Genomic DNA, 25,517 nt, shown 5'->3' with positions numbered 1-25,517 from the left:
TTACAAATACCTGGGTTCAAGCCTCCACTGGCCTGTAACCTTGGACAAGTCATTTCAACCCTCTGAGCTTGTTTCCTCATCTGAAAAACAAAGATAGCAGCACCCATTCCATAAGACTGTTGTGAGGATTAAATGAGACAATACGGCCAGACGCGGTGGTTCACGCCTGTAATTCCAGCACTTTGCGAGGCTGAGGCGGGCGGATCACGAGGTCAGGAGTTCGAGACCAGCCTGACCAACATGGTGAAACCCCCATCTCTACTAAAAATACAAAAAAAAAAAATTAGCCAGGCGTGGTGGTGCGCGCCTGTAATCCCAGCTACTCAGGAGGCTGAGGCAGGAGAATCGCTTGAACCCGGGAGGCAGAGGTTGCAGTGAGCCGAGATCGCGCCACTGCTCTCCAGCCTGGGTGACAGAGCAAGAGTCCATCTCAAAAACAAAACAAAACAAAACAAAACTGTGCTAAAAGCACAGTTCTGGGTGTATAATAAATGATCAGTTTTTTGTTCGTTTGTTAGTTTTTTGTTTTGAGACGGAGTTTCGCTCTGTTGTCCAGGCTAGAGTGCATCGGCGCGATCTCAGCTCACTGCAAACTTCGTCTCCCGGGTTCAAGCGATTCTCCTGTCTCAGCCTCCCGAGTAGCTGGGATTACAGGTGTGCGCCACCACGCCCGACTAATTTTTTGTATTTTTAGTAGAGACAGGGTTTCACCATGTTGGCCAGGCTGTTCTCAAACTCCTGACCTCAAGTGATCCGCCCGCCTCCGCCTCCTAAAGTCCTGGGGTTACAGGCGTGAGCCATCGCGCCCAGCCATTATCAGTTATTATCGTTATTTGCCTTGTCGCCTTTTTTTCTTTTATTATAAAGGAATTAGTACTTTTGGTATCCATTGCCTAAGTTCTTTATAACTTAGGTAATGTTTACTCTTTATTGTATGTATAACATAATAATAGCAAACACATGGTCCTCTTTTAAGTGCTTTACATATATTAACGGTAACTTATTTAATCCTCACAAGAGCATAAGGTAGGTGTTGTTATCCTCTCCATTTTAATAGTTGTGGGAACTGAGACGACGACGTTAAATAACTTTTCCAATGACAAAGCAGTGGACAGAATTTCGACCCAGGAGGCTTTGCACCAGTCTTCACTTACCTAATCCCTATACCACATCTTCTCTCCAATTCTGCTTTGGATTTTTCACAATAATGAGGCATGAAATATTCATCAGAGGTTGCAGAGCTAGCTAGAGTCTTTATGGTTCAACGTCTTATTTTAGAAACGAAGAATACAAGCATCTCAACTAACGAATTGTAAATTAGGTGAGACTTCGTGAAATGGAGTCGTTTGAAACATTTCCTTTGCCTGACAACTTTACAGGGACATACCTCTTTGTAAAGAGCAAGACCCATGAGCCCAGTGATTATCTGCATACCAAAATTGATTCCTCTTCAGCGGTACCTCGGCTGGGCTCACGTCCCTTCTGCGCTGGCATCTAACTCCGGTCACAACCCCCACCTCTCTGCTGTGGCTGGCGTAGATTCCACGCGTCACATGTTGGCATGTGACTGGATCTGGCCAGTCAGAGAAGTTCATCCCTCTCCGCTCGCTGATTCGCTCCAAAGATAGGCTACTGAGCCAATCGGAGCCCACGAAACACCGTCTCCATCCCTGCGCCGGGACTGGAGAGGCTTACTCTCTCCTGCTGATGCTGCAGCTGCTGGGATGCCAGGAGGGGAACCGCCTGAGGAAAGTGCTGAGAGAAAAGAGAGGGAGGGATACAGACCGGGCCCAGATGAGTTTGCGCTGAATCTGAAGTCGGTAGGTCCCTGGACATTTCTATTATGGAAGCCAAGAAGAACCTCCCCTCCACCCTCTGAAGCCAGTGTGGATCGGGTTTCTGGCACTTGCAGTGTCTGCACGGTCTCCTCTCCTTCCTTCTCCATTGCCCTTTCTCACCCGCCTGGGCCCGCCACCCTGAACTACCGGGACACATGCTGTTCCTGCCTCCAGGCGTGCACTTCTTCCTGCAGCCTCCTCCCCTACTAACTCCTTCTTGAACTTGATAGCTCCATTGTCACTTTCGAGTCTTCCCTAAACCACTCCCTTCCCAAATAAAACTGTTTCATGTATTTTTCTTTCATTGGGCTTATCACGATTTCTAATTAAGTGTTTGGGTGGTTATTTGACAAATATCACCACCTCAGCCCCTGTACACTGTAAGCCCCATGAGGGTGGGCTCTTCGTCCCTCCTGCTGATCACTGTTTCCCAGGGCCTGGCACAAGTATGGTACTCAAGAAATGTCTGGAAAATTGAGTGCCTTATCCTTTCTGGAAAGAAAATGGGCAGTAGCGCAGCATTATATAGTGTTTGCACCATACAAGAATAATATTACTGGAAAAAAAAAAACTTTTCTAAGAGACAGAGTCTTGCTCTGTTGCCCAGGCTGGAGTGCAGTGGTGCAATCATAGCTCACTGCCGCCTCGAACTGGGCTCAAGTGATCCTCCCGCCTCGACCTCCAAAACGCTGGGATTGCAGTCATGAGCCACCACACCTGGCCTTGAATTTTTTAAAAAATCCACTCTCATTAACCAGAATGAGCTAGCTCCAGTGTATCACCGCGTCCAGGGTTCTGCAGTGGGGTGGCTTGCTCCTCAATAGTTTCCCGCACTGCAGGCACTTAGTTTGTAGTTTCATTTGTTCTGTTATAGCAATACCACTCTTCCATCCGCCATCCATTCTCCAAGGACTATTGAAATCCCTTGTAGGCTGATGTCAAAACTCTCATTCTCTTTATCCTTGGGGTTTAGGCCATAGGAGTGTGCCATGGTAGGTGTTCAGCCAAGCTGACCCACCAGGTGACTGCAGCCCCAGCCACCACCTGACTGCAACTTTATGAAAGACCCTAAGCAAGAGCCACCTAGCTAAGACCAATCAAACCACAAAAAATTGAGAGCTAAGAAATTTTTTATTAAAGCCCAAGTCTGGGCATATTTTGTTATACAATGGGTAATGAGCAAGAAAGGAGCAAAAGCATAATGTAAAGCTTGTGGTCAGTTCCACACGAATGCAGTTTTTGGTTAGTCCATTGCTAAACTTGATAATCCCTTGCCCACTTGGATGTTTGCAGTCAGAGTCTTTGCATGTAATAGAAGTGCTCAGCTTGCTGCAACACGTCATTGGCCATATTCAAGGGCTAAACTGCTGTATATCGACTATAAATCAAGATACTCAAGTCTAAGACATTTCCCTTCAACATTTTTTAAAGGAAGGAAAGGAATCTTTGCTATAGTTTGATAGAAATTTTTGAGCAGTATGGTGTAACAAAAAACACAGGATTCTCCTTCAAATGGTTGTGCAAATGAAAAAACAGGGACTTAGGTGTCCATCACTAGGATGGAGCCTGCTTCCTGCCTCCTGTCCTCATTGTGGAAATGACCCTGGACAGATCCACCTCTCTAAGTTTCTGTTTCCTCAGTGGAAAAATGAGCACTAATATTAGCAGCCATATGATGGTTGGGGGTGAGGAGTTACTTTTAGATGGAGTCCATGAGTATGAGGCACCGAGGAAGCTTTTGCAGCTGCCTCTCTGCTCTCGCCTGTCTGGCTATCAGGGAAGAAAAACAAGGCACCCCTTTTTCCCCAGTGGAAGAGGATGGCAGCTTGCCTGGCTGTAGGAGGCAGCGGAGGCCAAAGCCAGGTCACCAGCCAAGGAGGCCTTGGAAGTTCCTATAGAGTCCTTTCCTGCATCCTCCAGCTTTTTTCCTTTTTCTTTTCTTTTTTCTTTTTTTGAGATGGAGCCTTGCTCTGTTGTCCAGACTGGAGTACAGTGGCGCAATCTTGACTCACTGCAACCTCCACCCTCCCGGGTTCAAGCTATTCTCCTGCCTCAGCCTCCCAAGTAGCTAGGACTACAGGTGCATGCCACCACACCCGGCTAATTTTTGTAATTTTACTAGAGATGGAGTTTTGCCATGTTGGCCAGGCTGGTCTCGAACTCCTGACCTCAAGTGATCCACCCATCTCGGCCTCCCAGAGTGCTGGGAATACAGGCATGAGCCACTGTGCCCGTCCTCTTTTCTCCTTTTTCTATTTTCCCCCAAAATGAAAGGAACTTCATTGTCTTTTTTTTTTTTCCCGAGGCTGAGTCTCACTCTGTCATCCAGGCTTGAGTGCCGTGGCGCGATCTTGGATCACTGCAACCTCTGCCTCCTGGGTTCAAGCGGTTCTCCTGCCTCAGCTCCCCAGCAGCTGGGACTAAGAACTTCATTGTCTTTTGTAAGCATAATAATATTTACACATTGTAAGAAAAATTCAAATGAGAAAGAAGAAAAAATTAAAAAGATATTTGCCATTATCCCATGTGGAGAGGTAGCCACTCTTGGAATTTTCCAATATGCCTTTTCCCTGTAACAATTTATTGCAGGCATGATTCCATGTTGATGAATTCAGGTCGACATCATCATGATATGAGCTGTGAATGAAAGACTGTAGTCTTGGGAACCAGCGCCTAGATCCAAATTCCTTCTCTCCTCACCAGCTGTGTGACCTCAACAAGTTTCTTAACCTCTCTATACCTGTTTCCTCATCTACAAAATAGGAATAATAACAGCATCTATGTCATAGGGGAATCTTGATGACCACTTGAGTTATCTGGCACACAGTTGACTACCACTTTCTATTAACCGCAGCGATTATGAGCTATTGTGATATGGATGAACCATTATTTTCTCTTAACTAATCCCTCATTCTGGGCACTTTTTACTATTAATACATAACCTGTCTTTCTACCTTTGCCCAAGTATTTCCTCACGTTAAATTTCTAGAGGTAAGCTTGTTTGGTCAAAGGATATGCCCTTTTAAAATTTTGTTCCCTGAAATTTTGTACCAATTTACAGTCTCACCAGGAAGGTGGAAGAGCATCCATGTCTCTTCATCTTCACCAACACCAGGCACCATCCATTATTTTTAGCTTGTCCAAGTGAATAGTCAATGTTTTCTGGGCTTTTAAAATTACTTGTCCACGGGCCAGGTGTGGTGGCTCACACCTGTAATCCCAGCACTTTGGGAGGCCGAGGCAGGCAGATCACCTGGGGTCAGGAGTTCAAGACCAGCCTGGCTGACATGGGGAAACCCCATCTCTACTAAAAATACAAGAAAATTAGCCAGGCGTTGTGGCAGGCACCTGTAATCCCAGCTACTGAGGAGGCTGAGGCAGGAGAATCGCTTGAACCCAAGAGGCAGAGGTTGCAGTGAGCCAAGATCACACCATTGCACTCCAGCCTGGGCGACAAAAGTGAAACTCTTTCAGAGATTCAAAATAAATAAATAAATTAAAAATAAAATAAAATTACTTGTCCAAATCAGGCTGCCTGTAGCTACCCTGGCTGCCTTGCTAGCTGACTTTTACCTCCATTCATTTACTCAACAAATATCAATAAAGTACTTAACTCATGCCAGGCCCAGTGCTGAGGGTTGGGGCTACAGCTGGGAATGGCAAAGCACCCACCTCATACAGTGACCATAGTAGATGATCCACTGCATGCTAAGAGTTTAACAAAGTCCTGCTTTAGTATCCAATAAGCTATACTAGGTAGGTTAAATATTTATAATATATATGCTCTCTGGATATATAAGGAGTTTTGGGCCGGGCACGGTGGCTCATGCCTGTAATCCCAGCAGTTTGGGAGGCCGAGGAGGGTGGATCACCTCAGGTCAGGAGTTCGAGACCAGCCTGACCAACATGGAGAAACCTCGTCTCTACTAAAAATACAGAATTAGCCGGTCGTGGTGGCACATGCCTGTAATCCCAGCTACTCAGGAGGCTGAGGCAGGAGAATTGCTTGAACCCGGGAGGCGGAGGTTGTGGTGAGCCAAGATCACGCCATTGCACTCCAGCCTGGGCAACAAGAGTGAAACTTGGTCTGAAAAAGAAAAAAAAAAAAACAGAAGGAGTTTTGTAGACCCGGCACAGTGGCTTACGCCTATAATCCTAGCATTTTGGGAGGCTGAGGCAGGCAGATCACCTGAGGTCAGGAGTTCAAGACCACCCTGGCCAACATGGTGAAACCCTGTTTCTACTAAAAATACAAAAATTAGGCGGGCGTGGTGGTGCATGCCTATAATCTCAGCTACCCAGGAGGCCGAGGCAGGAGAATCACTGGAACCAGGGAGGCAGAGGCTGCAGTGAGCTAAGCTGAGATCCTGCCACTCCAGCCTGGGCAACAGAGCGAGACTCCGTCTAAAAATATATATATATATTAGCATTAGCATTACCATTTTAGCTGTACAACCTTAGAAGTCATTTCTCTCTGTTAGTTTCCTCATCTGTAAATGGGCTAATGCCACCTACTTCATGTCACTATTGAGGTGGATGGAGTAGAATAACATATTTATGGTAATGTCAATAAACCAAAGCCACAGCAAGGTTGGCACGGCCCACACACAGGCCCCCGTGGCAGCCTCCTCCTCCTGGTGGCAGCACCTAGCCAAGATCTGGGCTTTGAGCCCTTTGCCCACACCCTACTCTCAACAGCTTTCTCCTGGGCACTACTGGTGACACTGTGCTGGCTCACAGCAGCACCCCACCCACCAGGACTTTTTTTTCATTTCCATAATTGGAAAGTGCAGAATCAGGGACTGATGATCCCCCGGTAAATTACCCCCCAACTCAACTTTATCGGGTCTCTCCCTGCCAAAGACAGGCATCGCCAAGGCCTCTAGCCCGAATCATAACAAACACTCTCCAAACCTTGTATCTCTGGCTCAGCCTCTCTAAATCCCTCCCTTAAGCTGGAGGGAGGAGCACCCTAAGCCAAACTTCGGGCCCACTGATCTCCTCCCCTACCTACACTGCCCTGCCCCAGCTGGAGAGCCCCTATGCCACTGTCCTGCAAGCAGTTTTTCCTTCCCCCTTCACTGGAAGCACCTCCTAGGGAGGCCTAAGGACTGGGGCCTGGTGGTGCTGAGGCCTGCCTTGGTGGCTTTGCTTCCTGGGGCCTCCAGGGGGTAAGGCTGGTGTACCTCCTTCTGAAGCATTCAAATCTTGCATTTGCTTGAAATCTTAGTAAATGGAAGGCTTTCCCCATTCACATTCTATCATAAGTATTTGTATTAGTCAGGACTTTTGCAATAAAACTCAGCTTGAACCAGCTAAATGTAAAGGGAAAGGGGCTAACTGAGGAGGGGTGAGGCTGACTTCCACAGCTAAAAAGCCCAGGGGACAGCTTCGTATGGCTAGATCCAGTGCTCCACTATCTCCAGGGTTTTGTCTTTCTTTGGTGATTTTATTCTCAGGCAAGCTCTGCCCAGTAATGCCAACAGGGCCACCAGCACTTGGAGGCCCCTATGGCACTTCATTCTGTGAACTCAGTAAGAAAGAGGCCCTACCCCACCAGCGTCCTTTGCAATGTCCAGTGAAGGACTCTGATGTCATATGTACACACAGGTATCTCACACATACATGAAGACATCACTCACACTCAAATGTTCCCCATGTGGATGACACATACATTCACAAATCACACACACTCATACATCACACACACATCCAGCTGTCTCTCACACAGGTGTGACTCAATATTCACACATGGCTGGGCATGGTGGCTCATGCCTGTAATCCCAGCACTTTGGGAGGCTGAGTCAGGCAGATCTCTTGAGCTCACGAGTTCAAGACTAGCCTGGGCAACGTGGTGAAACCCCATCTCTACAAAAAATACAAAAAATTAGTCAGGCGTGGTGGCACACGCCTGTAGTTCCAGCTACTCATCTGCCCCTGATTCTGCACTTTCCAATTATGGAAATGAAAAACAAGTCCTGGCGGGTGGAGTGCTGCTGTGACTCAGCAAGTATCACCAGTAGTGCCCAGGAGGATGGCTCGGGAGGATGGCTTGAGCCTGAGAAGTGGAGCTTGCAGTGAGCTGAGATTGCACCACTGCACTCCAGCCTGGGCGGCAGAGCCAGACCTTGTCTCAAAAAAAATAAAAAAATAAATAAAAAATAAATAAATAAATAAATAAAAATCTCTCCCCCTTAGATGTTACAGACCTGCAAACGGCCACCCTCAGAGGCCTAACTCACCCAGATTTAGTTGATATGCCACTTTTTTAAGGAACACACCTACCTCTTACCTAACACATCGCTTCTTTTTTTGTTTTGTTTTGTTTTTTGAGACAGAGTCTCGCTCTGTCACCCAGGCTGGAGTGTAGTGGCGTAATCTTAGCTCACCGGAACCTCTACCTCCCGGGTTCAAGCTATTTCTCCTACCTCAGCCTCCCGAATAGCGGAGATTACAGGCATGCGCCACCACGCCCAGCTAATTTTATATTTTTAGTAGAGACAGAGTTTCTCCATGTTGGTCAGGCTGCTCTTGAACTCCCGACCTCAGATGATCCGCCCACTTCGGCCTCTCAAAATGCTGGGATTACAGGCATGAGCCACCACGCCCAGCATCACATTGCTTCTTACCTAGATGTAATTCTGTGACATATCACTCTAAGTCTGTGTGTAACAGATTGAAGCCCTCTCATTCTCCCAAAATAGTGTAGAGCCTTTGAAAGGATTAAATACATTCATTTTTTTTTAACTGCCTATATCGAAAGACACAGATTGGGAGAAAATATTCACACTACATATATCTGAAGACAAAGGACCTATATCCGATGACAAAGGACATATATCCAGATGATATAAGTAACTCATTTTTAATTTTTTTTTTTTTTTGAGACGGAGTCTTACTCTGTCGCCCAGGCTGGAGTACAGTGGTGTGATCATAGCTCACTGCAGCCCCAGCCTCCTGGATTCCAGTGATCCTGCTGCCTCAGCTTCCCAAGTAGTTAGGACTACAGACATGTGCCCCTGCACCTGGCTTAAAGTTTATTTTTTAAAATCTGCCGGCCTGAAGGACAGGTCTTCTGCCCTGCTTGCAGTCCCTGTGGACTGTCTGTCTTGACTTCCCTCCCACTCCCTCTGGGCACCTGCCCTCAGTGCAGCTGCCCTCCAGCCCCTCCGCTACCTCTGCAGCTCTGCCTGTGCTGTTGTTCCCTTCTTTGCTTGCGGAAATCCTGTCTCCACTGAGGCCCTGCTCTGGGAAGCTTCCACCTCCCACAGGCTTTCCCGGTGTGTGATTTCACTCCTTTGCTGGCATTTAGAGGTAGAAGCTGAGAGGCCTGGGGAAACTAACTCAAACAGTTGGTGACAGCTGAGGAGAGTCTGGAAGGTGAGGGACTCAGAGCTGGGGACATGGATGGACAATGCTGTAACCGCCCTCGCAGCCCACCATCCAGGAGGAAGCCGAGGAGACAGGCCTGGGCCCAAGCTCCAGGGCTCAGAACAGTTAGATCAGATTCCTGTTGATTCTGCCTTTGAATCTAAGAGGGTGGCCCAGATCATATATCAGGAGATGGCTGCATATAACAGAAAACAAAATAACAATTACTTACAGGCCGGGTGCAGTGGCTCACACCTGTAATCCCAGCACTTTGGGAGGCTGAGGCAGGTGGATCACCTGAGTTCAGGAGTTCGAGACCAGCCTGGCCTCGAACATGGTGAAACCTCGTCTCTACCAAAAATACAAAAAATTAGCTAGGTGTGGTCGTGGGCACCTGTAATCCCAGCTACTCGGGAGGCTGAGGCAGGAGAATTGCTTGAAGCCGGGAGGCGGAGGTTGCAGTGAGCTGAAATCGTACCACTGCACTCCAGCCTGGGCAACAAGAGCGAAACTCCGTCCTCAAAAATAAAAAAATAAAAATAAAATACAGGCCGGGCACGGTGGCTCACGCCTGTAATCCCAACTCTTTGGGAGGCCAAGGTGGGAGGATCACCTGAGGTCAGGAGTTCAAGACCAGCCTGGCCAACTTGGTGAAACCCATCTCTACTAAAAATACAAAAATTAGCTGGGCATGGTGGCGCACCTGTAGTCCCAGCTATTCGGGAGGCTGAGGCAGAAGAATCGCTTGAACCCAGGAGCTGGAGGTTGCAGTGAGCTGAGATTGCCACTGCACTCCAGCCTGGTGACAGAGTGAGACTCTGTCACAAAGAAAAAAGAAAAGAAAAAAAAACAGCTGGCCGGGCGTGGTGGCTCACGCCTGTAATCCCAGCACTTTGGGAGGCCGAGGCGGGCGGATCATGAGGTCAGGAGATTGAGACCACGGTGAAACCCCGTCTCTACTAAAAATACAAAAAATTAGCTGGGTGCGGTGGCGGGTGCCTGTAGTCCCAGCTACTCGGGAGGCTGAGGCAGGAGAATGGCGGGAACCCAGGAGGCGGAGCTTGCAGTGAGCTGAGATGGCGCCACTGCACTCCAGCCTGGGCGACAGAGCGAGACTGCGTCTCAAAAAAAAAAAAAAAAACAGCTGGAGTCCACTGCACACAGGCAATGACTCTCACACATGAAACTCATATTTAGATCTGTGCTATGTTTTGGGTTTTGTTTTTAAATACAATAATGTTTAAACAGATTAAACCAAGTTTTAAAAATAACAGGCACATATTACATGAAAGAAATCAAGGAAATGTCTCGGGAAGAAAAAAATCTTAGTGTTAAAATTCCTAAATATCAGTATAGTCATTATATATTGTTCAAAAATAGCAATATTCTGATTAGTTATATGTTTGTTTGAAAATAAAATAATTTGGTAAATTTCCCACATATTTAGTCTAGTACTTAGTCTTAATATAAAAAGCTGGATTTGCCAGCAGAAAATTGTAATTACTTTTTTATGAAGTAAACACACATTATATCACTATCATTGCATGGAAGAGAAAGTGAACAAAAAAAGATTAAGGAATAAAAAAAAGAATATCACTATCATATAACTACATACATTAACAAAGAGACAAACATATCCCACTGGAGATTAGGAGTTTAGCAGAAGTCTCTGAAAATACTAAAAACCGAAACAAAATTAATAATTGCTTTTTGTTTGTTTGTTTGTTTGTTTGTTTTTTAACTATGTAGCGAATTCTTCTGGTTAAGACTAAGCATCAAAAAAAGAGATCTTCCTGAGAGCAATTATTAAACAATTCCTCTTGACCCACACTTCCAAATTAAGTCTATAGTTCTGGAATATGAAATCATTTTCATTTTAAACATAGTTGATGGAAGGCAACTTTTAAACAGAAAACTGCAGTTTAAAGTTGTCTCAAACTTAGTAGCTATATTTGTAACAAGCAACCACCCACAGCCAGTTGTAAATACAGTCAATCATCAGTGACCATTGGCCTCTCTCACCAACCAATATCAATGTGGGCCACTTGCTTTGGAAAGACAGCCAATTAAACACAAACTCGCTCCAATCCACAAGCCTGGGAGTGTTAACCAACCCACAGCAGCCTCACTCAGATAGCCATGTTTCTCCAGATGATGTTAACCCTCTTATGCCGCTGAGAGTCTGCCAATGCTTCAAGTCCGCTCCTCCCGCAACCCTATGTAAGATCAACAGCTGCTCTATCAGAATACAGAGTGCCTGATGAGCATAGCTCTCTTATAGAAAGCAACACATTCCAACTTGGTCTTTTAACTTCAAATACTGAAGGTTCATAATCAATTGGAAACAATTTTAAGTCCATTAAATTTACCACCCTTATATTTTAATTTTCTTTATAAATTACCAATGAACTATGTAATTCCTTTGATCCATTTTATCATAAGTAAAACTATCATGATTATTAGTAAAAGAATAAATAGTGAGTAACGACAATATTGAGCTTTTCTCTCTAAATGGAAAACTATTAATACAAAGAATGTAGCTTATTACAAAGAGCCAAAAAATCCAAAAACACATATAATTTCCAGGCAAAAGTGTTAGAATGAACCCATGTGAAACCTTTCTTTTTCTTTTTTTTTTTTTTTTTTTTTACCTGAGAATCAATCTAATGTTTAAAACAATACACCGAAGGGTAAACTTCAGTTGCTCATTTAATAAATATTTATTGAGTAGCTACTTATTGCAAGCTAGGCCCTTTTCTAGGCACACAAACATCCTACTCATGGGAGTGAAATAAACACAATAACCATAGATAGATTAGGCAAAATATACAGTGTTAAAGGAGAAAAACTAAAGCAGGAAAATGAAATGTTTACAGGTTTGAGAGGAGGGATAGTGGGAATTCTAGGATGGCCAGAAAAGTCCTTATTGAGAAAGGGGCTTTTAAGTAAAGAACTGAAGGAATGGAAAAAGAAAGCCAGGAGGCTATCTGAGGAAAAGGCATCCCAAACACAGGGAACTGCCCAGTACAGAGGTGTGCCTGGGGTGTTTAAGCAACTGTGATAGATAATGAAGAGCAAGAAGTTTAGTGTAGCTGAAGCACAGCAAAGGGAATAAGAAACAGAAGTTTAAGTGAGAGAGAGAACAGGTCATATTGTGTGTTGCCTTCCAACTGTGATAGATAACGAAGAGCAAGAAGTTTAGTGTAGCTGAAGCACAGCAAAGGGAATAAGAAACAGAAGTTTAAGTGACAGAGAGAACAGGGCATATTGTGTGTTGCCTTCTAGGTATGAGGAGGAACCCTGACACATACTCAGAGTGAAATGGGAGGCAATCAGATGGATCTGAGCAGAAGAATGACATCATCTGACTTATGTTTTAAGTATGGCCACTGAGTTAAGGATTAATGAAAAGAGGTTTCTTTAAAAAAAAAAACAGACCAATTAACAGTCTATTACATGCATCTAGAGAGCAGATGGTGGTGGCTTGGAAATGGAAGATATGACTGGCTTCTGGATATATTCTTCAGGTACTCCTGACAAGATCTGCTGACAGATTAGATGTGAGGTGTCAGAGAGAGAGGGGAGTCAATGACGACACCTTAGTTTCTAGCAGAGCAACTGCAAGAGTTGCCATTAATGCAAGTAGGAAAGACCATGTGAGGGGTAGGTATGAGAAAGAATATCGGTACCCCAATCTTGGACCTGGTAAGTTTGTGATACCCAACAGTTTGTGACCAATCAAACAGAGATGTCAAGTAGGCAGGTTGGTATGGAAGTCTGGAATTAAGGAGAGAGATCTAGGCTGGAGACACGCATTTGGAAATCATTAGCACACACAAGGTAGTAAAAGTCATGAGAAAGAAGATTGAGGACTGAGTCCTGGGACATATCAGTCCTGGGACATATCAATGTGTAAAAGGTGGGATATGAGAAGAAAGCAAAACAGACTATGACAGATGGACTGGAAAGGCAGGAAGAAAAGCCAGGTGAGTGAGTGAGATCCTGAAAGCCAAGTGAAGACACTGTTATGGAGGAGAGAGTTTTCCATTGGGTCCAATATTGCTGACAGGTTAAATAAAATAAGGTCTAAGAAACAATGTCTAGATTTACAAATCAATGGTAAACTTGAGAACAACAATCTTGGAAGAGTGGTGGGAGTGAAAATTACTCGTATCAGCTCAAGAGAGAATGGACAAGAAATCTGAATCCATGAGTATAAACCATTCTTTCAAGGCCAGCATACCTAGGGGCATGACTGTAGACGATCTAATTTTCTTCTTGTTTAGCTGTATTTTTCAATTCTTATATAACTATATACTATATTTTTACCCTTTAAAAGTTTTTTTAAAATGATATATATGGCATTTTTGAAATGCCAGATGAAGGTATTAAATAAAAATTCATTAACTTATAAAACCAAAAGACCTCTTGAACATTTCTAGATTATATAAGCTGATTATCATTTTGCTCATGCTTATACATAAAGACCAAAGAAGACTAAAAGTTTCAGGAGAAGTATTTCTTGCTTGATAAAAACCATCTAACTCTAGAATATTTTATACTCATCAAATATACAAAGTAATAGTCAAAATATGGAATTCTATGACAAGAATAAAAGGGGACAAGGGCAGAAAATAATCTTATTTTGTAAATCAAATTTGTCTAAATTATATGAAGCTACTGTTGAAAAATATGGTGTGTTTCCTACTGAAATACATTATCTTTTAAAAGAAAGGATAATGGCATGCATGTAGGGTACCTTTAAAAAGAGGATTCACTGCATAACAGCACCTTGGTTTTAGCACAAGGATAAACAAATCGGTGCTTGTGGAGCAAATCCAGCCCACTGCCTGTTTTCATAAGGAAAGTTCCTTAAAATGCAGCCACACTTATGCCCTTTGTAATTCACAAGGCCTAAAATGTTTACTAACTGGCTCTTTACAAAAAGAGCTGTCCAATTCTTGGTTCAGTAGAGCTAAGATCCTCTGTTGTATTTTAGTAAGTTTTACCCAGTATATTGAAAAGCTGACACGGAACATGAATCCCCATGTGCAATCCCTTGGCAATATTCAGATTAATTTGAGGATCTGGTATTTCAGCACTCACACATGGACAGCAAAAAACAAAAATTTAATAACTAGAATTCTGTTGCTAACAAGGTACAGTGTCAATGTAGCATGTAGCTAGCTTCCTTTTGTAACTCAGCAGATATTACGAGAATTCCAACAAAACTGGCTTAAGATGTGTCATCAAACTAAAGGCTTTAAATAGACTTTAATTGTGAAATAATCAGTACACTCCTGGTCTAACAACTTCTTTTATTAAAATGAGTGCATGCTACATTATTTTCTGGGTATGACAATTGTACTATTTCCTTATTGCTAAGGATTTAGACTATCTCCAACTTCTTTATATTACAATGCTATAATAAATATCCTTATACATAAATATATATGTAACACATATAAATATCCTTGACATAAATATATCATATATACTTAACATTATATATATTTAACCTATTAGCCTATTGTATGTTACATACTACATGTAATAAATGTCCTTAACACATATGTGTATGTGTTTACACAAGTCATATTTTCCTGTAGGATCTTGTCCCAAAAGTGAAGTTGTTAGGTTAAAGAAGTGACATATTTGAAATTTTGATACATGCTACTAAATTACCCTGCAAAAAGGATTCATCAATTTCATTTAACAAGTGTATGAATTTACGCCTTTTTCTTCACATTTGCCAATACTTCCTATTTTTTAAATAAAATATCAATATGATTGGAAAACATGGTGTCTCATTGTTAGTTTGCATTTTTCTGATAACCAAGGAAGGCTGAATATCCTAGTAAAAGTATAAAATCTGTTCATCATGAATATTAGCCCAAATTAGGATTCATTTCATAGCACATAATTGTCTCCTGTTTTTTGTTTTTGTTTCTGTTTTTGCTTTTTTTTTTTTTTTTTGAAATGGAGTTTTACTCTTGTTGCCCAGGCTCGAGTGCAATGGCATGATCACGGCTCACCACAACCCCGCCTCCCAGGTTCAAACGATTCTCTTGCCTCAGCCTCCTGAGTAACTGGGATTACAAGCATGCACCACTACACCTGGCTAATTTTGTATTTTTAGTAGAGATGGGGTTTATCCATGTTGGTCAGGCTGGTCTTGAACTCCTGACCTCAGGTGATTCACCCGCCTTGGCCTCCCAAATTGCTGGATTACAGGCGTGAGCCACCACGCTTGACCAATTGTCTCCTGTTAAACGCTGCTATAGGCTTACCTGTCATGCTCTTCATTTTCCTTCCTAGGAATCTGCTGATTTAGTCCATCATCATCATTGCCAACAGTAGTACCATCAGTTAGGGTTCCTGATAATTCTGTGCTATTACTTCTGTGCTTCTCCATTTCTTCTTCAACCTTGAGTGAGAGTTTGATGTTCAGGATGATTCTTATTGCTTTATTCAATACAAAGAACTTTTTTCTGTTTGCATTGATTTCATCATCACTTGACTCAGTTTAATTATAATTTTAGTCATTAAAATATTTGGTGCTTACTTTAATTTTATCACATCTGGAACTATCATCATATAATTATAATTATTATAATTTTATCATCAACATTTTTGTAAAGTCAGCTTCATTTCTGTTTCAATGAATGAGACAGAATTTTCCAAAATTTCAACCAGGGCCCTTCTTAATTTTGTGCTTTTATTCCCAACCACCCTTCACTATGTATTATGAATTTTTACCTCATTTGACTGGCACAAACATGGAAACAAGAAGATAAAGACACAAAGCGTGTCTTCTTCTATCTTTGCCACTTGACTTTCATATTAAACAGCCAGATTGAGAGGATACAACACTGTGGGGTTTCAGGAAAAGAAAGGAAGCTTTCCCTTTTCTGCACTAAGCTATTCTTTTCCCCCACTAACTTTTGTCTTTTTTTTTTTTTTCATTTGAATCCTGGGATATCAAAAAGGTGAAGGTGCTTACTGAAATACAAGTCTGCCACAACACAAAAAGCAGAGTGAAACTGCTGAGCTAGGGTGGAATTCTGGAAATGAGATGCTTCCCAAATTTCACATTCAATAGCCATAAAAGTTTATAGCTGGAGGATATACAGTATAAGAATCTACTTTAGCTCACTCTCTATTGATAACTGGGCTAAAGCCAAAAAAGATTAAAATGATTGATCCAAAGCCCCTAAAGTGCCATTACCTAGCATTTTGTGGCACCAAAAGAGACAGTACAATTCCATAATGCTGAATCAGACAAATTCGGCAAATTAATCAGATAGGTTAAAAGTGTGACTTGGGTAAAATAATTTAATGCCTTAGCGGAGGGTGGGAGGCCTGCCCTAATCAATGTAGAAGACTCAGCTTTCTACTTTGGCATCATATACTAAGTGTTTGGCTGAGCATTTATGCTACTTACATGGAAAAAATATATATGCCAAAACTTACTGTACTTTATTAAGCAACATAACATAAAGGTCTGATTCAACAGAAACAGTGGAGAGTAGTTATATTAACAAATATATTAAAGTGTATATACTTGTTGAAAAATATTTAAAGTGGTCATGATGCAATTCTAAGTTCCAACAGTTTGAGTTAAACAGATAAACCTGAAAAGCACAATAAACAGATTCATTGGCCAGGAATATTTGCTGCAGCTCTCAGGGCTGGATACTTCTTTTTTCTTTTCTTTTTTTTTTTTTTTTAGTAAGAGATGAGGTCTCACTATGTTGCCCAGGCTGGAATGCAGCAGCTATTCACAGGCACGATCCCACTACTGATCAGCACAGGAGTTACTTATGACCTGCTCCATTTCCGACCTGGGCTGGTTCACCCTTCCTTAGCAAATCTGGTGGTGCCCCGCTCCCAGGAGGTCACCATATTGATGCCGAACTTAGTGTGAACACCTGATCGGCATAGCACACTACGGCCCAGAATGCCTGGCCTCAAACGATCCTCCTGCCTTAGGCTCCCTAGTAGCTGAGACTACAGGTGTTTGCCACCACGCCTGCTAGATACATTTTTATATCTCTACTTAGTCATTGCTTCCTTTCTACTGTATTCCCATCTTATTGTTAGACACAACTCATCTTTAAGTCGGTAAAAGGAAAAAGCCCTCAAGCTCATCACATTTCCTTTAGCGATTTTCTTGATGCCTCTCCTGGTTCTGAAGGTCACATGATATATGGCTACATGAGTTTCACAATCCATACGCCACTTGGAAGACTGACAGAGAGACTTAGGTCAATTAAGAAACAACGATTATGAGAAAGTTTTCCTAAACTCCTATTACTTAGAAATCCTCTGTTTCTACACACAATTACAGATTTAGACAACCAAACTGTATGCTTTTCATATGCTTTTCCTAAGTGGAAAATCAGAATGGACCAGATAATTGAGAGAAAAAACAAAGAGTGGCAGCAAGTAAAACCCTACCTCTTTATGAAGTTGAACATTTTCTTTCTTCAAAGCCAGGAACTCTTCTTCTAATGTGTTGACCTCATTCTTAAACTTTTGCATGTCTTGCTGTAATTCTTCATGTAGATATACTTCTGATGTTCTGTCAGAATCTGGTGGTAAAGAACTCAGATTTTCTAATTTAGGTTTCAGGCTTTTATAGTTATTTGTACTGCCACTGTCACTATTTTGGTTCATATTTTTTGTCATTTGCAAATCAAACTCTTGGTCTTCTTTCATTTCAACCGTAACCACTTCTGGGTTCCTTGCTTTCTTAGTGCTTGCATCATTATGAAAGTTGTTATCTGTACTAAAAATATGTCCAATGCCTAGTTTGTTATCATTGTCGCAGTCTAATTTATTTTCATGTAAATGAAGCTTAGAAGATGACTGGCAAACATGTTCCTGGGACCCAGAGTACGGATGATAGTATGGATGGATGATATTTTTGAGACTGGGTTCTTTTTGTTCAGGAAATGTCTCGAATACCACTGAGACAGATATTTCAGATGCATCTTCTTCCTCACAACCAGGTATGTTATTTGTCAAATTAAAGGGAATATCCTTCACATCTGTTCCTCTTGTAGAGTTATCAAGTAGTGGCTCTTCCTCAGGACAAGCCGGAATTTTGTATTTTTCATAAATTTCACCAAACCTCTGCTTTAACTCATTTATGACGAGTTTTAATTGGTTTTTCCACTCTAATTTGCCTTGTTCAATCCACATTTCCTCAGATTTTTGCACATGAGGAAGTACTGGATATATAGGTATATCCTCTCTATCACAATCCTTAGCCATTTCTGGTTCTTGAGACGTTTTCTGCAGGTGCAAAAGTGGAAGATTAATTTGCTTGTTTTGTTTCTTGCGTGTCTTCTCTGTTGGGCTACATGTTTTAAAAATAGCTTTGTCCTTAAATAACAGGTATGAACAAAGAAAAATTCACAAATAATTAAAATGAAAATTTAACTGTTAAACTTCTTCATCTAGGTTTAGCTACTCCCAAATCACTGGCTTGTAACTAAGAAGTTAAAAACAATTGTCTTAGCTGAAAGGAGGAGAAAAATATGAACCAGCAAACTTAACTTTGTCACTGTTTGTTTGGAATAAACTTAATTCATTATGTGTTAAATCTACCAAAAATGAATTAGCAGATGATTTCTAGTGTTACAAAGGCCTCCTCACTTGGAAAGTGAGCCCCTACAGTACATGTAAGTACTACATATTACTACATGTAAGTACTATATATTACTACATGTAAGTTCTACAGATTACTAACTGGAGGGTAGGCAATCTTCAAATTATTAGGAGCCCGAATCAACACCAATCAGAAAGAAAAGCAAATTCTTAAGTTTTAATTCAAATTATATACTGTAACATCATAGGGTTATATATCTAGACTATCTTCTTCAGTTCAGTTCTAATATATACTACGGTCCCCTAATAACACTAACTAAAACTTTAAAGATAATTCTTACTAAGTTTCTGCATCTAAAAAGTTAGAAATTTATTGTTTGTACCCTAACACCAAAGATCCCATTCTGCAAGGTATGATTCCCTTAATAGGCAGTTGGGTTGATTTCATAACCCCATTCTCACTGAATGTAGACCATGAAGTCAATGAAAGGCCACATCTTTAACCTAGGCATTAGTAACTGGCAATATAAAACTGAAAAATTTGAGCCACTGGCCATGATTACTCCTATACCATGAATCCAACTCAGTGGCCATCACTGTTAAATTGTTCATAATTTCTGTTGCTTAATAATATAAGTCAATAATTGACATTACCTTCTTTATCCCGTAAGGATATTGTAAGAATGGAAGAGCAAACAAAATTCTGGAATGTTTGCCTCTACTCCAAGGGTAAAGATTAACTATAAGTTATGATAGATTCTAACAATATTGTGTTTTATAACTAGTTTAAATGTATTTAAAATTAAATATTAAGTAAGGATCTATTGATTCTCAAAGGCTAGTCTGAGAGGTAATTTCATTTGGGCTAGCATATTAAAGCAAAGAAAAGAGTATTAAACCAGACATTTAGATTTTAGTTTGAATGTTTCCACACCTGTGGCTGCTTATTTTCGCATCCTTTAAGTCTTTCTTGCTCTTCCTCTGATGTCAGCTCCAAGTCTTGTTCTGCTGCAAAATCCAAACGTTCAGTTAAACTACTTAGAACAGTTAGATAAAAGACATAGTCTTTATAAAAATAGATTTTAAATTACATTTCATTTTATTTCATAAATTGAGAGTTTAAATGAAGCTTGATCTTTAGTGGAATACTTACTTCTTTAAGAAATACTTCTAATTCTCCAAAACTTCAACAAACCACTTTCTGGGAGACACTAGATGCCACCAGGTTAAAGAAATACAATCATGTTGAAGATTCACTCACAGATTCATCCACCCAACATCAATGAACAAAGCCATCACAAACAAAACAAAATTTTGGAATGCAGTAGCAATATTATCAGGCAATACTGCATACTGTTCTCCACTTCATAATAGTACCTCATTAATGACTTCCAAAATGACTGTGGACACCTTTATTGGTGTACAACCTCTTCCTAACATCTGAAATGGTTCCCTGTATTATTCTGACAAATGTATTAATATTTTCATCTTTTAAAACAGACTGCTAAAAATAAATAAATAAAATACATAAAATAAAAAACAGACTGCTAGGTGAAGTTGACCCTCATCCTCATCTTTCCCCAGGTAAACAGGTATCTAGGTATCTCCTTCCTTAGGGCTGCCCTAGAACTTTACTGATTTTTCTACTGCATCTCCACCACCCGAACTGTCAATTATTGCTTTACATGTCTATTCCCTCTGCTCCTTGACTGTAGGGAACAATCTTGAAAATCATCTTTGTACAAAGAGTCATTATCTATTTTACTCAGCAATTATGTATTGAGTCTTGCTATGTGCTAGGCACTAGGATTTAAAGAGTGAAAAGAAAGCATGTCAGAGATGACTTTTCTAGAGATCCTGCCCGAGCTGAGGCTTAAAGAGTGAGGCTAGCCTAATTAGAAGGGGTAGGGGACAGGAAAGAGTGAGAGCATGACAGGCAGCAACAAAAGGCAGAAAGAGGCCTGAAAGAGTGTATGTGTTTGCCTGCAGTCGAAGGATGGGTCAGCAGGACAGGACCAGCAGTTCAGTAAGGCCAGAGAAGGGGCACACGGGGGAAAGGGCTAAAGATGGAGAGCTGAGCAGAAGTCACATTATGAAAGCCTTACGTATAACTTTAAGATGCTTGGACATTAATGTTCTCAAGAGTGGTCCCTGGTCTTATTTGCATTGGTGATAGAACACTGTCAATGCCAAAACCAACATCCCTAGCGAACACATTTATTAACGCAAGGTGGTAGCTCATGTGGACACAGCCAAGGAGATACTATGCAGCAAATTCTCAATAAGTCTCATTAATTACTGACTTGGAAAGTCAATTCTATAATACATAAAGTCATAGAAACGATAGGAAGTCACTTAATATTTGCTTTTGGAAGGTGTTTTTTCGTTTTTGTTTTTGTTTTTTGAGACGGAGTCTTCCTCTATTGCCCAGGTTGGAGTGCAGTGGCGCAATCTCGGCTCACTGCAACCTCCACCTTCTGGGTTCCAGCGATTCTCCTGCTTCAGCCTCCTAAGTAGCTGGGACTACAAGCATTCACCACCACGCCCGGCTAGTTTTTTTTGTATTTTTAGTAGAGATGGGGTTTCACCATATTGGCCAGGCTGGTCTCGAACTACTGACCTTGTGATCCACCCACCTCGGCCTCCTAAAGTGCTGAGATTACAGGTGTGGGAAGGTGTCTTTTAAATTATAGTGCATATAGTTATAACTAACAGCTGTGAATTCAGAGCTGTAAAAATAAAGCAAAGAAACCACATTGTGTTTGAGTCAGCAATCTTTAGGTCTCTACTAAATTATCCTAAATATAATCCTATGTTAGTCCCTAAACATACTTAGTCCCTATATTCTAAATATAATCCTACTTCCTAAAGAAAATCATGCTTTCCCTAATTCTCTGTTATCTAGATGTTGCTTTGGTTAAAGGAAGAACACAAATATCCTGCCAAAAGGTATTCTGTTCAGTGCAAAAGGTGAGTAAACACAAAGCACATTTTACCAGAAAAAGTTTTTTTAAGTCAGAACTATAGCTCTATGCAGCCAAGCAGAGGCACTCTAGGACTGAATTCTCTATGCTTCTTTGTTACCTTCTTTGCTCTCTTTGTTTTCTGGTAGCTGTGATTGGCACAGGTCATGGAGAGTATCATTCCCTGAGAGAAGTACAACTCCAGTGTCCATCTTTTCTCGTTCTGTTAAGTTCATCTGTCCCAGTTCTTTGGTTGCTGACTGATTTTCAGGCATTGATGGTGATACAGATGGACATTTATCATCAACTTTCAGATTCTTGGATCTCTGACAAGTCTCATCACTAAGGGTCAAATTAGTAGGATGCCAATCTGAAAAATACGAAAATGAAGTTTTCATTTTTAGGATGTAAATAACACAATAATTTGACTAACTTGTATACATGCTTTCTTCACAGAAACAGTCCCACATCCTGCTCTCTCCCACAACACACTATGCATTCAGGCTTATTATATTTTACATGCCCTATGCTTACAATTCATTCAGGTAAGTTTAATTAACTATCATCTCTCACTTTTCTACATTTTTACTGGTTACTATTACTTACTTTTATTCACTCAGCAGTCTCTATTACATATTTTGCTTTCCATTAAGATTCTTCGTGGATATAAATTTTTTAAAACATAATTTATGTCTAACCATTTTAAGCTTAAATATACATGACAGCATTGTATGTATGTATTGTAGAGACACAGGATTTACAAAAACTCATAATAAATATACTTTTAAAACTATTTTAATTATAATGAGATGGTGTTTCCTCAATGCACCACTATCTTCAGAATTTCCTTTCAAATACTTGGATAAACTTCATACATTTATTTGCAAAATAAGAGCTGTAAGGGCTCTAACTGTTCCCATGTGAGAACAGGATTAGTCTAGGACCACACTAGATCCAAATAGCACACAGTGCCACGAGACAGGAAAGGAATACATAACAAAAATATTTTCCTTTTTACTATATAAACAAAATTGTTGGGATTTAAATTTTTTTTTTATTTTTTGAGACGGAGTCTCGCTCTGTCACCCAGGCTGGAGTGCAATGGCGCAATCTCGGCTCACTGCAAGCTCCGCCTCCCGGGTTCACGCCATTCTCCTGCCTCAGCCTCCTGAGTAGCTGGGGCTACAGGCGCCTGCCACTATGCCCAGATAATTTTTTTTATTTTTAGTAGAGACGGGGTTTCACCGCGTTAGCCAGGATGGTCTCGATCTCCTGACCTCATGATCCGCCTGCCTTGGCCTCCCAAAGTGCTGGGATTACAGGCGTGAGCCACCGCGCCCGGCCTGAGATTTAAATTTTTTAAGACAAGTGAAAGAAAAAAGCCAAAAACACATACGTGAAACTTTAAAGTCCATTTCATCATAAAGGGTGCATTTATCCACAACCACATATGTGGTTTAAAATGTTGACTCTCAATTATGATCTGAGAATCCCTGGAGTTCAAGATCCAGATGAGGGGCCAAGACGTCAAATAACACAAAATGTTATTTGCCATTTTCACTCTCATTCTGTTTCACGTGTACAGTGGAGCTTTTCATAGACATGGTGTGTCATAACATCATAGCTCTAATGGTGAATGGGTCATAGTTCTAAAGGCTATTGGAATGTATGGCTGTGCGTGCTTGTTTTTTTTTGTTCGTTTGTTTGTTTTTTCAGATGGAGTCTCTCTCTGTCACCCAGCCTGGAGTGCAGTGGCGCGATCTCGGCTCACTGCAAGCTCCGCCTGCCGGGTTCACACCATTCTCTGCCTCAGCCTCCCCAGTAGCTGGGACTACCGGCGCCCTCCACCATGCCCAGCTAATTTTTTGTATTTTTAGTAGAGACGGGGTTTCACCGTGTTAGCCAGGATGGTCTCGATCTCCTGACCTCGTGATCCGCCCGCCTCGGCCTCCCAAAGTGCTGGCATTACAGGCGTGAGCCACCACGCCCGGCCGCATGCTTGTTTTTAAAATATTTTAGTTTTTATTTCTAAAATAGTAAATATCAAAAGACACAACCGACTTAAATAAAAGCTCTTTGGAATTTGCAATAATTTTTCTTTATTTTAATTATTTATTTATCATTATGAAGAGACTTTGAGATCCAGTCATTTGATAGAAAACCAGAGCTTCCTGTGTCAATAAGGACTGACCTCAAAAATGTAATGTGACCAGACAAAAGAAAGTTGCAAAATATGTAGAGTGTAAAACAATTTATATACAATTTTAGGACATGAAAACAAATTCTACATATTATTTATGACCATACACATATGTAATAAAATGTTTTAAAAGGGAATGGACATAATAAATTCTTAATTCAGGGTGTTGGTTACCTCTAGGCAATAATATTTAATCATATAAAATGAACCCCAGGCCAAAAAGTTTCAGAATCAATGTTTTAAAAGACTGTGTCCACCATATAGTTATTAAGGGTAATTATTGCTTTCTTCGTTTTTGATAATCAAAACACACACACACATGATTTGCTGACCAGAATATCTGACTGGCTTAAAATCATCAGTATAGCCACACTATGATGAAATAATTAAACTTAAAGCACAACTAACATATTGGCAAGTAAAGTTTGTCTTATCTGATAAGTTTTGGTGCTGCACGTTCACCTTATATTCTTTCCACCTTTCTAATACCCCACTCTTCTTTTGAAGTATTATCTCATTTTACCACCCTCCATCATATCCACTTGCTTCTTTTCCCTTCATTTACTCTCTGTACTCTCTGCCTTCCACATTCTTTATTCCCCCTTTTACTCTTATCCTCTTCCTTCTATCCTGACACTGCCTATCTAGGGTTCAGTACTATCCACAGTTCCAGGCATTCACTGGGGGTCTTGGAACATAACCCCCATGGATAAGGGGGAAAAACTGTACATTTTGTTGTGTAGGTCTATGGGTGCTGTGCTGTGTTATGTGGCAAAACATAGGGAAGAGACCAGGGACAAGGACCTTTGCAAAGACTTTTCAGCTGCCAGTGGAGAAGAGCTCAAGGGAGATCAATGTACTCACTCTCACTAATCCTCTTCTGGGGCAGATGCTGGCAATGTTTACTGAGTTCTAGCTATTTTCCCTAGCACAAACAAGGCTCAAATTCACCTCCCATTTTACCTCCTATGGACAGAACCACTGGAAAGATCACTCCCTTAAAGAGCTTATTCACTCTGAGCCACACCATTCATTCAGTGAGAAGCTTAAGAAGAAACACGGCCACAGTGGTGGCAGGTTGCCAGGGAGTACTACCTGGTATGAAAAATATATATGAACAGAACTATCAGCTCACTCAAGCTGCCAGAATGTGCCAACAGTTGTTACTCTCTCTGGTGAAAACAAAATTATTTTTCACTTATTGTAAAGAAAAACACTGGCATTTCCTATGACAGAGCATTTAGTTGTAGATGAGCCATATTCTAATAATATAGACTGTTTTCAAGCTCATCCCTAAAAGGAAGAGAACCAGAGAGGAACATATTTATTCACCTGTAGTGTTCACTGCCTGATCTTCTTTTTAAGTGCAAGGTAAGTATGCAAGACTTTGTGATTCCAGTTTTATAAAGTCCAGCTCTTGAGATTATCCCGTCCCATCGCTAGACTCTATCTGGACCCATCTCCTAGAGCACGATGGTCCAGTTAGTGCTGTGGAATACTGCATGATGCCATTTTTCCCCACCCTCCCCG

General features: G+C 41.3%; 1 protein-coding gene and 2 pseudogenes across 14 annotated transcripts in view, besides 4 other annotated features; all 3 read right to left on the bottom strand.

Moving 5' to 3' along the window:
- Nucleotides 1–1,565, bottom strand: part of PRPSAP2 (phosphoribosyl pyrophosphate synthetase associated protein 2) — a 74,989-nt gene extending 73,424 nt beyond the window's left edge. For 5 of the 13 annotated variants that reach the window (NM_001353106.2, NM_001353101.2, NM_001353103.2 and 2 more), the window contains exon 1: nucleotides 1,388–1,523. Coding sequence is in view for 2 of the 13 variants with exons in the window: in NM_001353098.2 (NP_001340027.1) it covers nucleotides 11–80; nucleotides 1,435–1,494 (130 nt within the window). In the remaining 11 variants the exon portion in view is untranslated. Of the gene's footprint in view, nucleotides 1–10; nucleotides 81–1,387 lie in introns of all 13 variants that reach the window. The other 8 variants (NM_001353097.2, NM_001353102.2, NM_001243936.2 and 5 more) reach the window with 4 other exon arrangements.
- Nucleotides 1,382–1,882: an enhancer, noted in NCBI's record as "H3K27ac hESC enhancer chr17:18759295-18759795 (GRCh37/hg19 assembly coordinates)". NCBI's record gives its function as "activates a minimal SCP1, AML or CMV promoter by ChIP-STARR-seq in naive H9 embryonic stem cells {active_cell/tissue: H9 hESC(naive)}" and the evidence as "EXISTENCE:reporter gene assay evidence [ECO:0000049][PMID:30033119]".
- Nucleotides 1,734–1,793: an enhancer, noted in NCBI's record as "active region_11842". NCBI's record gives its function as "activates an Ori minimal core promoter by ATAC-STARR-seq in GM12878 lymphoblastoid cells {active_cell/tissue: GM12878}" and the evidence as "EXISTENCE:reporter gene assay evidence [ECO:0000049][PMID:35858748]".
- Nucleotides 1,814–1,863: an enhancer, noted in NCBI's record as "active region_11841". NCBI's record gives its function as "activates an Ori minimal core promoter by ATAC-STARR-seq in GM12878 lymphoblastoid cells {active_cell/tissue: GM12878}" and the evidence as "EXISTENCE:reporter gene assay evidence [ECO:0000049][PMID:35858748]".
- Nucleotides 7,658–7,717: an enhancer, noted in NCBI's record as "active region_11840". NCBI's record gives its function as "activates an Ori minimal core promoter by ATAC-STARR-seq in GM12878 lymphoblastoid cells {active_cell/tissue: GM12878}" and the evidence as "EXISTENCE:reporter gene assay evidence [ECO:0000049][PMID:35858748]".
- LOC101929141 (coiled-coil domain-containing protein 144A-like) lies at nucleotides 15,496–22,200 on the bottom strand (annotated as a pseudogene). Its single transcript, NR_164151.1, has 4 exons — nucleotides 21,909–22,200; nucleotides 19,759–19,832; nucleotides 17,670–18,509; nucleotides 15,496–15,636 (listed from the first exon to the last, which is right to left on the bottom strand). The product of NR_164151.1 is annotated as a coiled-coil domain-containing protein 144A-like (transcript).
- On the bottom strand, nucleotides 16,944–17,242 carry RN7SL627P (RNA, 7SL, cytoplasmic 627, pseudogene; annotated as a pseudogene).
- Nucleotides 22,201–25,517: the final 3,317 nt, after the last annotated feature.

The sequence above is a fragment of the Homo sapiens genome, chromosome 17 (assembly GCF_000001405.40).
Source record: "Homo sapiens chromosome 17, GRCh38.p14 Primary Assembly".
NCBI classification, from domain to species: Eukaryota; Metazoa; Chordata; class Mammalia; order Primates; family Hominidae; genus Homo; species Homo sapiens.
This window is presented reverse-complemented; position numbering and strand designations above follow the sequence as displayed.